At 34.8% G+C, this 16,714-nt stretch overlaps 1 pseudogene; it reads left to right on the top strand.

Moving 5' to 3' along the window:
- Positions 1–3,465: 3,465 nt before the first annotated feature.
- On the top strand, positions 3,466–10,251 carry LOC101060076 (60S ribosomal protein L14-like; annotated as a pseudogene).
- The last annotated feature ends 6,463 nt before the right edge of the window (positions 10,252–16,714 follow it).

The raw sequence follows: 16,714 nt of genomic DNA, 5'->3' as shown, positions 1-16,714 counted from the left end.
GTATGTATTCCTCTTTTAATGAAAACATCAAAACATTTTTAAATAGTTCTGTATAATGTAGTTTGCATGCACTGCTACTGCCACAAAGGTGATAGGGACATAGTTTATATATTAAAAAAAACTGTTTGTGCCTTCAAATAATTTAAAGCTAATAAAATTTCCCTGTTTTATTTTTTCTTCTATCAGAAACAAGTCTGAAGGTGGTAAAGCAAGATGTTTGTCACCTGTATAAGCAGATTTCTTATAAGGTTTTAATAGATCACCTTATTACTCCTCTTATCTTAAAATTTTGAGGAATTTTTCCAAAAACTTTCTTCAAACAATATTATTTTTCAAAGTTTAACATTTTAGTCCAATTAAAATTTCAGCAAAAATAATAATAAAAGAACAACAAAGTGGTTATTTCTAATTCTATACAAATAATGACTTGTGAAAACCTGTTATCTTTCCTGAAGTTTGAATATTGGATAGCATTCAAGCCAAAGCAACCAACAATGTTTGTCAGCACCATTTGACAGAAAATAGGTAAAACCTCACCAACATATCATAAATAATGTTTAAATAAATCTTTGCAATGAAATTATACTTGTAGATTATTTATTTGAAATATAAAACAAGAGAATTTCACTAAGTTACTAATGGTTGTTTGTTGTTTAGGAGAGTTGTCACTATTCATGCCTGAATTGTAACTTTTAAATACCACCAACTTAGGGAAAAAAATAACTAGATAACAGTTTTGCTTTAATTTTATTATGTTCATGCTACCATATTCCCAGGTTCTAGAGTAATCATATAAAATGTTGTGTCCCATTTGTGAAACACTTGGGAGAGAAAAGGTTGGGACAAATGCTAAGACAGATAGGACACTGGAAATACTGACATAAACTATGCCTGTTCCAAATACACCAAAATATATGGTTACCACATATACTATTTCTGTAAATTTTCATATTTCTAGTTCTTTCTCCCAGTCCCTTAGGGACTTCATTTGTTTTTATTTGTTTCAGCTAATCTGATGAGGTGGAATAAAGTAATTATTAGGAAATTTAAATTTTAGAACAAAAACATGTATTTTTTGGTCTCATAAGGATACCTTGGAATAAGCTTTTTCACAAACAATTCCACAGAATTTGAAATTATTGTAAGATATATTTAAAATTAATGTTTATAGGATTTTTAATTACCTCGAATTTTTTTTAATGCATTTGTATTCAGTTAGTTTTACTATGCAATAAGTTATCCTAAACCCAGTGGATTAAAATACTAGTGCTTGATTTAGGTTACATTCTATGGGATGGCAATTTAGGTTGCTCTAAGAAGGTGGTTTTACTGGGCTGGACCAGGCTTAGCTGGTGGCAGGGCTCACTAGTGCTTCTGTAGTCACCTGCCAATCTTGCCGAGTGCTGACTGGACTAAATTGTCTCATCTGGCATGGGCGTCCAGGTTCCAAGTGTTCTTTTATTCTTCAGCAAGCCAGTCTGGATTTGTCCACATAGCATGCAGCAAAGTAAAATGTGTGAAAGGGCATGAAAATAGAGACAAGATTGTATATATCTCTATGTATACACACACACATATACACACGTACAATTTTCTATAATAGATTTGAGTTCATTAGTTTGATTTCACATGTAAATATATCATTTTCTTTTTCCATTTCAATACTTCTCATCTGAATACCCTAATTTTACTTTCCTAGTCTACTGTTTATCTTAGTTTCATTCCATACATCTTCTCACTGATTTTATACTATTCTATAAGGATAATTAAAACAAATATTGAATACTGGTTTTTTGTTTGCAGTCTGCATCTCTGTATATTTTGATATGGTTGCTAGACTTAGCAAGAATTTCTCTGCTTCTTTGGTTTCCATGACACCATTTTTTCCTAGGTATAATTCAATATCTTGTAATTCTTCCTTCTAATTGCTTTCTTACCTCTTTCTCTTTTTTATGTCATGCCTCAAATCTATTCTTTAGCCTCTTTTCTTCTTTTCTTTTAGGCTTCCTTCTATATAAATTATATCCAATTCACATAAATTGGTTAACTGCTCTGTCAAATGTTTCCATGTATAGTTTTTTAACATTGGAATTCATGGAACTTTGCCAATTCCAACAGCCTCTTTGACAACTTTGCACTGATGTATCACATAAAACAGTTTTAAATCATAGGTCAGAAGTTAAAAGCCCTTTAATATAGGTGTAGGTAAGTTTTCCTATTTTACTTCCCATATGCTTAAGCTACTCTATAAAATTTTTCCCATATATATATATATATTTCTTAGTTTTTACTGGTACACTTTGGCTCTTTTTCCTCAAAATAGAGGAACATGTCCAAATTCTACACCCTTTTCTAGACTACATGCAAAATCACCTACACAACACCTCCACTAATGTTTTAATGTCAAAGAAATCTCTCCCATTTGAATCAATTTTACTCTGTACATCCCTTGCCAAAGTTATTTAACCATAATAATAGAATAAAATGTTTGTTTTAAATAACTATTATTTTATAAACATGTATTCTGATATTTTTATATTCTGTCTATAGCATCCCACATTGATTTCATTACATAGTTGCAATTTTAAGCACTTTTGAGCACAAATAAGCTAGTGGAATAGCAAGAGAACGCTGTCTTTGCTTATGCCAGATGGATGTCAGATAATTAGGAGGGGCAGTGGATTCTCTGTTTGTTGACCAATCATAGACGTACCTTCCAAGTCCTAATTTTTCATTACATCTACACATGGCCCAGAAAAGTAACTGAACTCATTTAACAAAGTTGTTGGAGTAATCATTATATAAGCAAAAATGAAGAGAAGATTATTCCTTAAAATCCAAATTTCTTGTTACCAAAAAAGTATGCTCCTACCTACAGACATTATTGTACATGTAAACAGTAAATGGCTGTGCAGATATAAAAATATCATTTTATATAATTATAAGCATGCATCTGCATTTTATTCTTGTTTACTTCTCTCAGACTCAGGACACTGGCAAAGAAATTGTGTTTGCCTAGCAGTATCATGGTGTCCTACATGAAAATAATTAACTTGAAAATACAAACTCAGGAAAAAGAAGTCCATTTGTTTTTCTTATTTAGAAGCATATTCTGACTATTGTTTCAAGCTCTAAGAGGAGGGTCTTTTTGCCTCAGAATATTTAATAACCCCCAGCTTGTTTTTTTTTTTTTCACAAGACAATTTTTTGCTTAAACAAGTTCTCAAGTGAAACTTAATAATATCTCGCATGGTTTGGGTAGCACAACCTACATTATTTATTTAGTGACAGGACATATACATGAAGATCTCTGTGGCCTAAAACCTTCGAGCAGGGCTTGGTTTGAAGAGTTTTAGAAAATTAGATATTTTTTGAATAGAATACTCATAGTAGTAGCATTAGGTGGCTCACTGATCATGGAGTGTTCATTTGAGTCAAGCAAATAACCACTCAATCTTTAAAATTATGATTGAAGTGGAAAATATCACTATCCATATACATCTAAGTGACAATAATGTAACAGAGTTGATGTAAGTAATGTGATTAGACATGAACAATGATTGCTAAATCAGAGTAACCAAGATATGTAACTCTCTTCTGTCCTCCTCCTGGCAATTCCTTTAGCCACACTTCTACCTAAAAGGTTAATTAATTGCCTATTACTGTAATCATACTGATTAATACTGAGAATTATCAAGCTGTATGGTAACTTTCTGAAATCCTTCAACATTTAACTCAGTGATAAGAAACATAGATCTTGACAACTTTTATAACAATTTATTTTCAGATATCAAAGACAAAATATTTCAAAATGCACGTTAAAATCTCTCCCTTTTAAAAAGGATTTAAAATTTTCCATTTTGACAAATATCAGCTGAAAGTGCACAAAATGCCTAGCAGCAATGTTTTACATTAGGAAGTCATTTTATTGAGTTAAAATGAAAGGAAATGAATTTTATAAACTTACTTTCAAGTATTCTTCTATATGGCTCACCTTTGTGTGAAAGAGTCCTAGTTATATGAAATTTGGTGAAAACAAACAGCTTAATTTGTATGTTATTCCTTTATATTTTGTGATATTTATAGCACTTATTCTGTAATATATTATACCATAGGCTCATATAATCATATTATATATATTTACATAGATTTATATAAATATTATATAACATATAAATGATATATGTTATATATAATATATAGCTATATTTACATATTTTGTATTATATATACTTATGTATCTATATATTTATATTTATATGTAAATAAGTTTATATATACATATGTAATATATTATATATAAATATATATTACATTACACATATATAAGTATATATTAACACATAATATATAAATATATATTTATAAATGCAACCAATAGAATATGAGTGTATACTATTGAATATGAATGTATGAGTACATTCTTTTACATACATAATTATTTTCATCTAAAGACATTTCTCTAGGGTTTAAAATCTGTGTTATATATTGGTATATTTCTACCATCCAGCATCTATCACAATGGTAAGGACACAATAAGGTGTTTAGTATGTATCTTACTAAATGTTTTTCTGAAATATTGTATTTAATTGTGGAAAATATATTTGGAAACATTTCTATCACACTCAAACTTCAGGAACCATGTAGAATGACTGTAAAGTAACGAAACTTGACATTAAAAATGAGCTAATAAGAATAATATCTGAAAACTCTATATTCTTCAGTAGTCATGATATGTAGCAATCACTTTCATTTTAGCAAAATAAAAACAAAGAAACCCAAGTATCACTTCTGTATTTAGTCTCAAAATCTACAGCTTGTATGAAAACTAAATCTCATTCAGCACTCATAGTTAAGATCCTGATGCATTTTTCCTGGAGGAGACATTCTACAGGAAACTTTGTTGCTGGTAAAGCTTATTCTACCTTGAACTAAGTAAACAGTTCATAAACTGTCTACTAGAAGTCAGCAGTAAACAGTCAGTCTCTGAAACATTCACTAGACTGGAAAAAAAAACTTCCTGAGATACCAAATAATTTATTCAAAGCTTACACCCAACTCATGTGTCTAGCAGAAATTTATTTGAAATTCCCAGCTTAGAGAGTATATGATCTCTTACTAGAGCTACTAAGAATCATTTCAGCAACATTTAACCTGTGGGATAATGTTGTAGTCTACAGCTGCAAAGCCAGTTAAAAACAAGTCAATCAAAGTTAACTTTACTCTTTTTTTTTTTTTTTGAGACGGAGTCTCATTCTGTCGCCCAGGCTGGAGTGCAGTGGCGCGCTATCGCGCTATCTCGGGCTCACTGCAAACTCCACCTCCTGGGTTCAGGGCATTCTCTTGCCTCAGCCTCCCAAGTAGCTGTGACTACAGGTGCCCGCCACCATGCCCGGCTAATTTTTCTGTATTTTTAGTAGAGACGGGGTTTCACCATGTTAGCCAGGATGGTCTCGATCTCCTGACCTCGTGATCCGCCCGCCTTGGCCTCCCAAAGTGCTGGGATTACAGGCGTGAACCACCGCGCCCGGCCAACTTTACTCTTGACAGTGATTTTCCAACTGTGTGCTCTGAAATCTTGAACGTTGTCCAACTTAGTCCAACTCTTTCTCATTTTAATGACCCTAACTATTGCTATTCAATAGAAAATAATGAGAAACAGCAAAATCCAAGGACTGCTTGAGTATGTAGGTTTATAAGTAAAATTGGAAAAAAAAAAGCCAAGTAATGTTATTATGCTTCTTTTCATAGTTGTATATGTAAATTATATATGCATCCTATTAAGATTTCTGAACTATTTTGAGTAAAAACATAGATTATGTCTGGGGATATTCACACTTCCAATATACACTTGTCCTTTGAAATTTGTCATATTCACATTGGCTTAGCTTTTGTTTAAATGTTTATTTTCTTAGTTAAATAATGAATCCACATTCTGGTGGCAGATATGACACAACTGGGTTAGTAAATATAGACTCAACAACAGTCTAGATCATTATTATTAAAAGTTCTTTATCAGTTGACTTTGTGGTATGTTTTATAACATTAATATATAGGGTCATAGCAAACCTATAGTATTTTTTCATTTTACATATTTTATTGTTGCAAAATAAGCAAACAGTAGTTTCTAAAGTGTATGTGTTCAGCTCAATAATACTTCACAAAGTGAATACACTTATGTAATCAGCACCTATGTCAAAACAAGTCGAATATATACCAGCCATCCTCCTGTAGCTGTTACACTACATGACAAGGGTAATCGTTATTCTGACTTCTAGTAACACACATATATATATATATACAGCCAGTTTTAAAACAGTATACAAATAAATTATGCAGAATGAACAATTTTGTGTTTTTGGCTTCTTCGGCTTAATATTAGGTGTGGAAGATTCACTCATGTTTTTGAATATAGTTTTAGTTCAATCATTCTTTTTGCTATACATGTATGAATAGTAGCCCATTGAATGAATATACCACAGTTTATTTATCGATAATTCTGTTCATATGTATTTGGGGTTTTACTGAACCAAGGCTTGTAAGAAAAAAAAAGCTGCTATAAACATTATTTTACTTGTCCATTAGTGAATACATGTAGAAATTTATTTTGGGCATATTACTAAAACTATGTATATGTCTATAAGTAATATGGGATATGTGTATCAGGGAGTTACTAGGTGTCAAGTAGTTTTCTAAAGTGTTAAGTTTATGAGATTTGTTTTACTTCATCTTCTCACTAAAACTTGAAATTATCTGTTTTTTCTTTCCTATTTTTGTTTCACTCATAAAGCTCTTTGATCTATTGTATAGCTTTGGGACATAAGTTGCTTTTCTTAGGTAACATCAAACATGTTTTAAAGTTATTCATTGTCTATTTAGTTAGCTTACTTTTAGAGTGACTGTCTACACCTGTGTTTATTTTCCTTTTTGGTTGTCTAATTGTTTAGATTTTTTAAAATTATTATTATACTTTAAGTTCTAGGGTACATGTGCACAACGTGCAGGTTTGTTAAATATGCATATACATGTGCCATGTTGGTGTGCTGCACCCATTAACTCGTCATTTGCATTAGGGACATGGATGAAGCTGGAAACTATCATTCTAATTTTTTTGATTCTTAAATTATTTTTAATCTTCTGAGTATAACATTATTGACTTTTTGTATCCTGTGTAATAAATATTTGCTTACACCAATATCATAAAATATTTTTCTTTTTTTCTTTTTTTTTCTAAATGCTCACTTGTTTAACCTTTCAGATTTAGGACTGTAATACATAAAGGAAATTTTTTGTATATGTTGTCAATAATATACTAAAACCATTTTTTCCTATATTTGTATCCAATCGACATAGAACCATTTATTTTAATAAAACATTTTAACACCCTAGTATAGTGCTTTAAGCTTAAGTCAGATGAATGTGTATGAGTGACTCCATTGCTGGACTCCTTCTCCACCCATTCTTCTTTTTTTTTTTTAATTTCCTTGGTCAGTTTGTCTATTTTTGATAGAAAAAAACAAACTAATAAAACCTATATATACACACACACACACACACACACACACACATACATATATAAAGGTTGAAAGTGAAAGAAAAGAAAAAAATTATAATTCAAACACCAACAAAAAGATAACTGGTATAGCTGAATTATTATAAGACTATCACATACTTTTAATAATAAGCTTTTTGAAAAGTGAAAGAGACATTTCATGATAATAAAAGGATCAGTCCAAAAGAAAGAAGTTGTAATTCTAATTATGTGTATATCAAAAAACATCATTCTAAAACATATTTTACAAAAAATATACAGAATTAAAAAGAGAAGTGTACAAATCCACAGTCATAGTAGAAGGCTGTAGAAGACATCTTTGTATTAGAGCAAGTAGTTATAAAACTAAAGAAAGATAACAGCTAAAAAATTCATTTAGCCAACTTGACATACTGATATGTAGAACAATGGAACAAATAATGGCTGGAGATTTATTCTTTTCAAGTGCACAAGGAAATGTCACAAAAATAACTGTATTATTCAGGGTTCTCTAGAGGGACAGCGCTAATAGGATAGATGTATATATAGAGGAGACTTTATTAAGGTGTATTGACTCACATGATCACAAGGTGAGGTCCCACAATACAGCGTCTGCAAGCTTAGCAGCAAGGAAGCCAGTCCTAGTCCCAAAGCTGAAGAACTTGGAGTTGGATGTTCAAGGGCAGGAAGCATCCAGCACGGGAGAAAGATGTAGGCCTGAAGACTAAACCAGTCTAGTCTCTCCACGTTCTTCTGCCTGCTTTTATTCTGACTGTGCTGGCAGCTGATTAGATTGTGCCCACCCAGACTGAGGGTGGGTCGGTCTTGGTCAATTGACACAAATGTTAATCTCCTTTGGCAACACCTTCACAGACACACCCAGGAACAATACTTTGTATCCTTCAATCCAGTCAGGTTGACACTCAATATTAACCATCACAATAACCATAAGCTAATTCATCTAGCCTCATCACATTTCAAAGGATGGAAATCATTCTTAAAAAAAATTAAGGCTGGGTGCAGTGGCTCTTGCCTGCAATCCCAGCTTTTTGAGAGGCTGAGTCGGTTGGATCACCTGAGGTCAGGAGTTCGAGACCAGCCCGTCCAACATGGCAAAACACCATCTCTACTAAAAATAGAAACATTAGCCGGGCATGCCAGACGTGCCTGTGGTCCCAGCTACTCCAGAGGCTGAGGCAAGAGAATCGCTTGAACCCGGGAGGTGGAGGTTGCAGTGAGCCGAGATTGTGCCAACGCACTCCAGCCTGGGTGACAGAGCAAGACTCCGTTTCAAAAAAAAAAAAAAAATTAAAATACATTAATATTACACTAAACATAAGAAGTAAGTACGTAAGTTTAAAGAAAACAAAATAACAGCTTGTATATGAGGCAATGCACTTCTAGAGGATTAACAAAAATAATTAGGAAATCTATTTACATGCATAATATTGAAGATATGGCACAAGAAATCATGGGAGATGAATATTGATTTGAGAGAAATGTATTGTTTGTTTTGTTTTTTAAAAAATAACTCATTTAAATCGTTAAATTTCAAGGATAGAGAAATAAATTTTCAGGCATTAGACAAGCAAAGCAAATCATCCCTTAGGGTAAAAATAAAAATAATCAAGCTGGTGTTTGTTGTTTTAATTCTAAGAAGTGATGCCAGAAAACAATGAACAATTCAACCTCCAGTGTCTGGTCACAGACTCCTTAAAGCCAAATGATCATATCTGTCAGCATACTTACATTGTGTGTAGCATTATAGAACTACTGTAGAAATAGTACCAACACTAATATGCCTAACATTTGAAGAAGCAGTGTAGAGTAGGGATCAATCAACATAAGGTGTTCAGGTGTGTCAGAGGTTGGACAGGTGGCCTAAGTCTCCTTTGGACCTCATGCCAGAAAGCCGGTCCCAATTGTAAATGTTATTGATCAAAACAGGGCTTTGATTAATGGACATTGCACTAGGGTAAGGAGACAGGCCGCTCCTTTCAAATGCATGCGGCTCACTGACTTCATCCTCAAGTTCGTACACAGCACCCTAAAGAAGTATGTCCGACAAGCCTGGCAGGAGGCCAATGTCAGTACAAAATGGGCAGCCACAAGGCAGGACAAAAAGATTGAAGCCATAGAAAGGAAAGCCAAGATGACAGATTTTGATAATTTTATAGTTATGAATGCAAATAAAATGAGGAGCAGAATAATCAAGAATGAAATTAAGAAGCTTCAAGAGGCAGCTGTCATGAAAACTTCTCCTGAAAAAACACCTGCTGCTAAAGGTGCTGCTGCAGCTTCTGCAGTTCTCACTCATATGTGGGAATTGAACAATGAGAACATTTGGACACAGGGTGAGGAACATCACACACTGGGGCCTGTCGTGGGTTAGGGGGAAGGGGGGAGGGATAGCATTAGGAGATACACCTAATGTAAATGATGAGTTAATGGGTGAAGCACGCCAACATGGCACATGTATACATATGTAACAAACCTGCACATTGTGCACATGCACGCTAGAACTTAAAATATAATAAATAAATAAATAAATAAAAATAAAAATAAAGAGGACCACTGCAGGAAAGAAGGCTCCAGCCTAGAAGCCTCCTTCCCAGGAAACCACAGGCCAGAAGGCAGGTCCTCTTCCAAAAGCTGAGAAGGGTCAGAAAACTCCAGTTCCGAGAGCACCTGCTCCAAATGCATTTGACAATAATGCATAAGAGGCTGTTATGAAAGTAAATAAAGGTTCTTTTTGACACGTTGAAGACATTTTTTTTTAAATCTAATTTGCCCAGGAAAGCCACCACATAGATTTTCATAGTCTTGTATTAATTTAACTATTCTGTTTCCCCCTTGATCCACTGCTGTTTGTATATTTTGATAAACTTGTGCATAACTCTGTAACACAGAAAACAGCTGATGGCTAGGTAGATCCAGTTCTTCCTCAGACCAGACATTTTCAATAAAATGAAAATAGTAATACGTAAGTATCATGTCCTGAGGAGACACTAGCCCAATCTCTCAATACATTTGATTACAAATATCAATATAAGAAGATAATAATTGTTTTAACAAGGTCTGTAGAGAATTCTCTTGGTCATGACCGTTCAGCCAAGAATATTTCTTTTCTTCTGGTACAGGGACTACATCTCGCACACGGGAATTTTTATCTCCTATTTCCAGGTTGAAAAGAGATTAGAATGACATTTTTACATTTGCTGCTTTGGAAGTGCCTTTAACTCAAAATAATTCTTATACCCACATGGCATATTTTGGGGTACATATTCTGCCATTCATCAATATCTGTCATTTTATCATTTGTTTCCCGGTTGATGTATCAGTTTTCAATTTGTTTTACCCCATCCTGCCTTCTTTTAGATGAATAAAATACTCTCAGTCCATTTTTCCTCAATTTACTTATTTATTTATGCATGTTTTGTTGTGCTTTAAATAGTGATTCAAGATTTACAACATGGATTATTCACTTAGTTTATAAAAATTATTACTTTCAAATATTCCCCACAGTCCTAAAATCTTATACACAAATTCCATTTAATTTTTATAACTCGCATCATTGTATTCATACATTTTAGTTAGTATTCAGAATTCTCTAGATGTTTTTTATTTGCCTGGTACTGTCAATGTTTCATAAATTTCATTTATTTTTATTTTTATTTATTTTATTTATTTATTTATTTATTTTTTGAGACGGAGTCTTGCTCTGTCGCCAGGCTGGAATGCAGTAGTATGATCTCGGCTCACTGCAACCTCTGCCTCCCAGGTTCAAGTGATTCTCCTGCCTCAGCCTCCCGAGTAGCTGGGACTACAGGTGCACGCCACCACGCCCTGCTAAATTTTGTATTTTTAGTAGAGACGGGGTTTCACTGTGTTGGCCAGGATAGTCTCAATCTCTTGACCTCGTAATCTGTCTGCATCAGCCTCCCAAAATGCTGGGATTACAGGTGTAAGCCACAGCGCCTGGCCATAAATTTCATTTTTAAACTCATATTTCAGTCTTCGTTTCCCTTCATCTATTCTTATAAGTCTGTGTTTCCTTCTTAATAAAAATTTGCCTTAATAATTTTTATTTCTTTAGAGCAGGTTTTCTGGAGATAAATCCCCCAGTTGTGTTGTTGTTATTGTTGTGGGTGTTATATGGAAGAATTTGTACTTCTAATATTTAAAGGATATTGAGTATAGTTGTTCTTTCTTTGTTGTTATCAAGGGGCCTCTAGATATCACAATTCTAGCATAAAAATTGTATTATTATTTTTTATTGAAGAAGCCTTTTCATTTTTATTGTGGGCTTTTGATTTATGTATATGTAAAATGTCTATTTAGAGACTTCCTTATATTTTGGATATCCACTTTTAAACTAATTGCAACATTAATATAAATTATTCAACCTGTATGTAAATATAAAGCAGAATAATAAAAAGAATAAGAATATTTCAGAGTTCTTGCAGTCGAGACCTAATTTTTATTACTACGTCTTACTTTCTCAAAGCAAGACATATCTAAATATCTATAACTTTGTATCCATGATTTACTTGCATTTAAAATATATGTTTTTTCAAACATCTAGTTTTCCTAAAAATATATTTTGTGTGTTTCTTGGTCTAAAGCTTTTAAAACTGGCATCGTGTAACACTCTGCAATTATTTATTTCACTCAACACTATGTTTCTACAACTCATCCAAGTTACTGTTGTAGTAGGTTGTTCATTAATTTCCAATGCTTTAAGTATTCCATTATGTGCAAATATTAAATTCACTAACTCACCTCAAGTGAGTGAATGTTTGCCTTATTTCCAGGTTGGTGTATTTTTTAGCCATTGTGAAAAGTGCAATCAGATATTTTGTACATGTCTCTTGGTGAGTAGAGAAAATTTTTCTAAGTCATATACTTAAGAATATAATATCTGTTTTAAAAGTTTGTAAATGCTCACCTTTTCGAGATAACTCCAAATTATTTCTAAAGAGTTTATACCAATCTACACTATCATTTTTAATGAATAAGAATTACCCATTTTAAAATCTTTTGCCTATACTCAATGTCTTAGACATTTTATTGCTGCTAATAATGGTGAGTATAGATATGTATATCTTTGTAGTCTTAATTTGCATGTCCTTCTTTTGTAATAAGACAATTCATTTATTTTGCTAGCCACAAGAAACCCTGAGTTAAAGTAGAAGGAAGAACTACATCATTGAATTATGTCTGTATTTCAGGAAGTAAGTGGCTAACTCTATCCCTGCACCCTTTCTTAGTCAACTTACTTGTCTGGCTTGTACAATCAGACAGAAATTAGCATTCTTTTTCTCATTCAGTCACACTTTTACTTTTCTGCATGATCCTGGTCAATCATCTACAGTGAGATGTTTTAAACCATTAAATACTGTGCATCTCCCTATTTTTAAGTATATTATACTCTAGCGTAAGCTCTGAGTGTGTGTGTGTGTATGACAGCATTGTGTACCTCTTATAGTCAGGAACTGTGTCAAAGTAGCATTAAATTACTCATGCGTACCAGAGCACCTCCCTCATTGCACGTATTCATCAAATTAGGCTATAGAATTTTTTAAAAATTTGCTCCCTTTAATAGAAATCCATTTGCATAGCATTCATTGACTCAAGGAGTGGCCCTCAACTATATTGCACTTGATTTGGCATAGTGGAAAACAATATTCAAATAGCTAATTCTACTAGAAGTGAATGAAATATATGAAGAAATTTCAAGCCATGAGTTACGAATTGTAATGGAAAAAATAAAGCATAGGTGAGAGAAATAATAAAATGGAGATGACTTTCAAGTCTTTCTTTAAATTATTGGTATGGATATAAAGTGGGAATAAAACTAAGGTTATCTCATACTGATGAAACTAAGAAACAGTATGGCTTATTCAAAAACTTTAAATCCAACTTTACCTGGAGGATATGTTCAAACGGCGATGAGTCATTAGGCTAGAAAGTAGAGTGGAATGGTTCATGACATTACAAAGAATTGAAATTGTATTCCAGGTTTTCAATTGAATGATATAAATGTAATTATTTAGAGAAATCTAGTATTGAAGAAAGGTAATTCTGTTATGTCAGAGTAAAAATGTTAAAGAATAATTGGACTAGAGGTCCTCTCTCAGTTCTGTAACATATTCATGTTAATATTTATCTTTTTCTCTTTGATTTTATGGTAAATGTAGTCTTTAATTATATCAAAATTAATCACACACTATTCATCTGCTTTATATCCTCCAGAGTTATTTCTTTACGCAAAGATGGAATGACAAGAAAATTCTTGTGTTGTAGATAATTTCCTATTTAGTTTGATTTCCCTGGCATATTTACTGATGCAAGCAGCAAAATCTGTTCCTGTTGAAACACTACTATCCCAAGAGGGAAAGTACTCTACCATATCTTCTTAGGAAAAAGAGAAAAATATATACACTTGAAATCTCAAACAAGAATTAAATAAACATATATGTAAAATTAGAACTATCTGCCTATATGAAAGAACAAATTAAATCACCAGGTGAATTAAAGTTTTGTTTTATATATCCAATTACTGTTCCTATATTCAATTTTATAAATAAATTAATTCCTGGCTATGTTAAGCATGCCAACACAGCCTTTAGAGATATAATTAATGAACTAAGGAAACCATTTAACAAATGACTTCACTATGTTCTTAGGTATGTGACTGTTCACTGGTGGCCAGCTTTTACTGTGAGTCTAAAAGAAAAGAGGAATATGTTATAGTATACTTTAAGAAGGAGGCATGTGAAAAAAATTATGTCTATCTTTTTCAGTATAGAAATTACCATGACCCAAATAAACTCCACTTTATGAGAAGAATCTCCCATGCTACCAATCAATTAATTAATTAGTTTAAAAACATATGTGCCATAAGAATTAGTAGATTTATATTAATTTACAAAATATGTCTTATTTACTCTGTTTAGGATTTTAATCATACCAAGATGATTTTTAAGAACTTAAAGGTAGTTTTCTACTAAATAAAGCAAAGAAGAGTTTAAACAGATAAACTTGATGTATAATGACTAAGCAGGACAATCACATTTTCGGTTCCTGATTTACACAGAAGTAAAATGTCTATTAAGAGGCCCTGATGACAGATCAAATAGCCAGAGTGGACTTTTGTTTCTGTCATTCTGAGACAAAGTTGGTTCCTCAATAGATGCTACCTCTGAAACCAACTAAAGTTATTGAAAAAAATAGCTTAAATTATAATTTTAAGTGAAACAATAAGTTGACAAGTTGGTGAGGACTACTTACAGGCTGAAAACTAAATGGAGGTCAGAAGCAGATATAAGCAGAAAATGGAAAAAGGCTTTTGCTTTGAGCATAACTGCTCAACATAAGTTTTGATTTCTGTTGAGAACAAACTAGGAGATGAAACTCAGAGCTAGATAGCTGACTGGACGCAGCCAGGAAGAACATCTCCCATCAAGAGACTAGGACATAGGGAAGAATGTCACACGAAGCAAATCTTTGGAGGGAAGGCATTGAGAGTGGATGGAGGGAGGACGCAGATACTAGGCTGAAGGAGGAAGCAGGGAACCCTGCACATGGCTACCGAACACTGGGGCTTGTTCCTGGCCCCCAGTGGCTTCTGGGGAAGAGGTTAAGTTGAACACAGGAGGGGTGGCCTGCTCTCACCATGAACCTCTGGAATCTTAACAGCAGGAGATGCCATGACCTCCACAGATACTTGAGCTGGCAGGGAAAGCTGCTTGGAGAGGTGGTAGGGGCAGGACTCCAGCCTGTGTGGAGCCCAGAGGGTGTGAGGTGGGAACATCTGCAGTGGAGCATGGCCAGGGACTCCCATCCCCCAAGGCTGGACATGCTCCCTAGAAGACTTTAGTCTTAGGGTGACTGTCAGATCTATGCAGAGCAGGGCTCTCTTGCCCATGAGCTGGAGTTGGTCTAATCTGAGCACCGTTTTTCCTGCTGGCCTCTTCCAGGGCCCCAGCCTGGCTGCACCTACTTGCAGCACAGTCTTGAATTCCCACCAATATGCTTCCCAGAGGCCCTCATCATAACTTCTTGGCTGGCAGAGGCAGACCACACCTGACCCTTGGAGAGCACCAGCACAGTGGACCCTGATGACATGCACCAGCCCACCTGCACCATCCTGCCACCATAGCCTGTCCCCACTGCTTTGTTGGCACGCACATGCTCATGGCCACCAACCCACTGCTTTCCCAGTGTGTGCGCACAGACCGACTTCACCTCACCTGCCTCACCAGCACTTGTGCACGTGCACACCCCGTTGTGCCAGTACTGCTGGCACCATGCTGCACCCCCAACCCCCCTCTGACGCATGGGTATCCTGCCATGCCACCATCCCGGTGTGAACACCTGGACAGATACCAGCAATCCCGCGCCTGCCAGCCCCCACCCTTGCTGTACCGCCGCTGATGCTGTCAGTGTGAGCACTCAGAGGAATGCCACAGCCCTACTCCTGCTGGTGCCTTGCCCCAACCAATGTGCATGGCCCTGGCTGCACTGCCGTGGCTATTGGCACTCACTAGTGAGCACAGATTCCACTGCCATCATCCTGACTTTAGCACTTTGGCCAGCACCACCCATAGGAGTATTGTGGCCAGCAACAAGGAACACCTTTGCTCCTCCAGCACAGTAGGTTCCAAAGAACAAAGGGGCCAGAGAACAGAGTGAGGGGGCCTGATACTAGTCCCCCAGAATTAAAGCAGGCAGCCCAGGCCTGATGAGCTGAGCCTTGGGCTTCTAAAATCTTCCAGAAATGAAGCCAGCCAACTGAAACTACCTTATACCACAGTCAAATACCCAAGGGCATCGAAGAAGATGAAAGCAAAAAACCCTATCCAAAGGACAGCAAACTCGAAGACTGAAGGAACATCAGTCACACAGATGAAAAAGAACCAGTGCAAGAACTCTGGCAACTCAAGAAGCCAGAGTATCCTCTTACATCCAAACGACTGCACTGGTTCTCTAGCAATGGTTCTTCACCAGGCTGAAATGGCTGATATGACAGAAACAGAATACAGAAAATAGATAGGAATAAAGATCGCTATTCTGGAGGAAGTCAAAACCCAATCCAAGGAATCTAAGGAATAAAGTGAAGTGATACAGCAGCTGAAAGATCAAATGGGCATTTTAAGAAATAATTAAACTGATCTAATA

Source organism: Homo sapiens, chromosome 5 (assembly GCF_000001405.40).
Source record: "Homo sapiens chromosome 5, GRCh38.p14 Primary Assembly".
In the NCBI taxonomy this organism is placed as follows: Eukaryota; Metazoa; Chordata; class Mammalia; order Primates; family Hominidae; genus Homo; species Homo sapiens.
The sequence above is the reverse complement of the archived record's forward strand: the minus strand, read 5'-3'. Positions and strand labels throughout refer to the sequence as shown.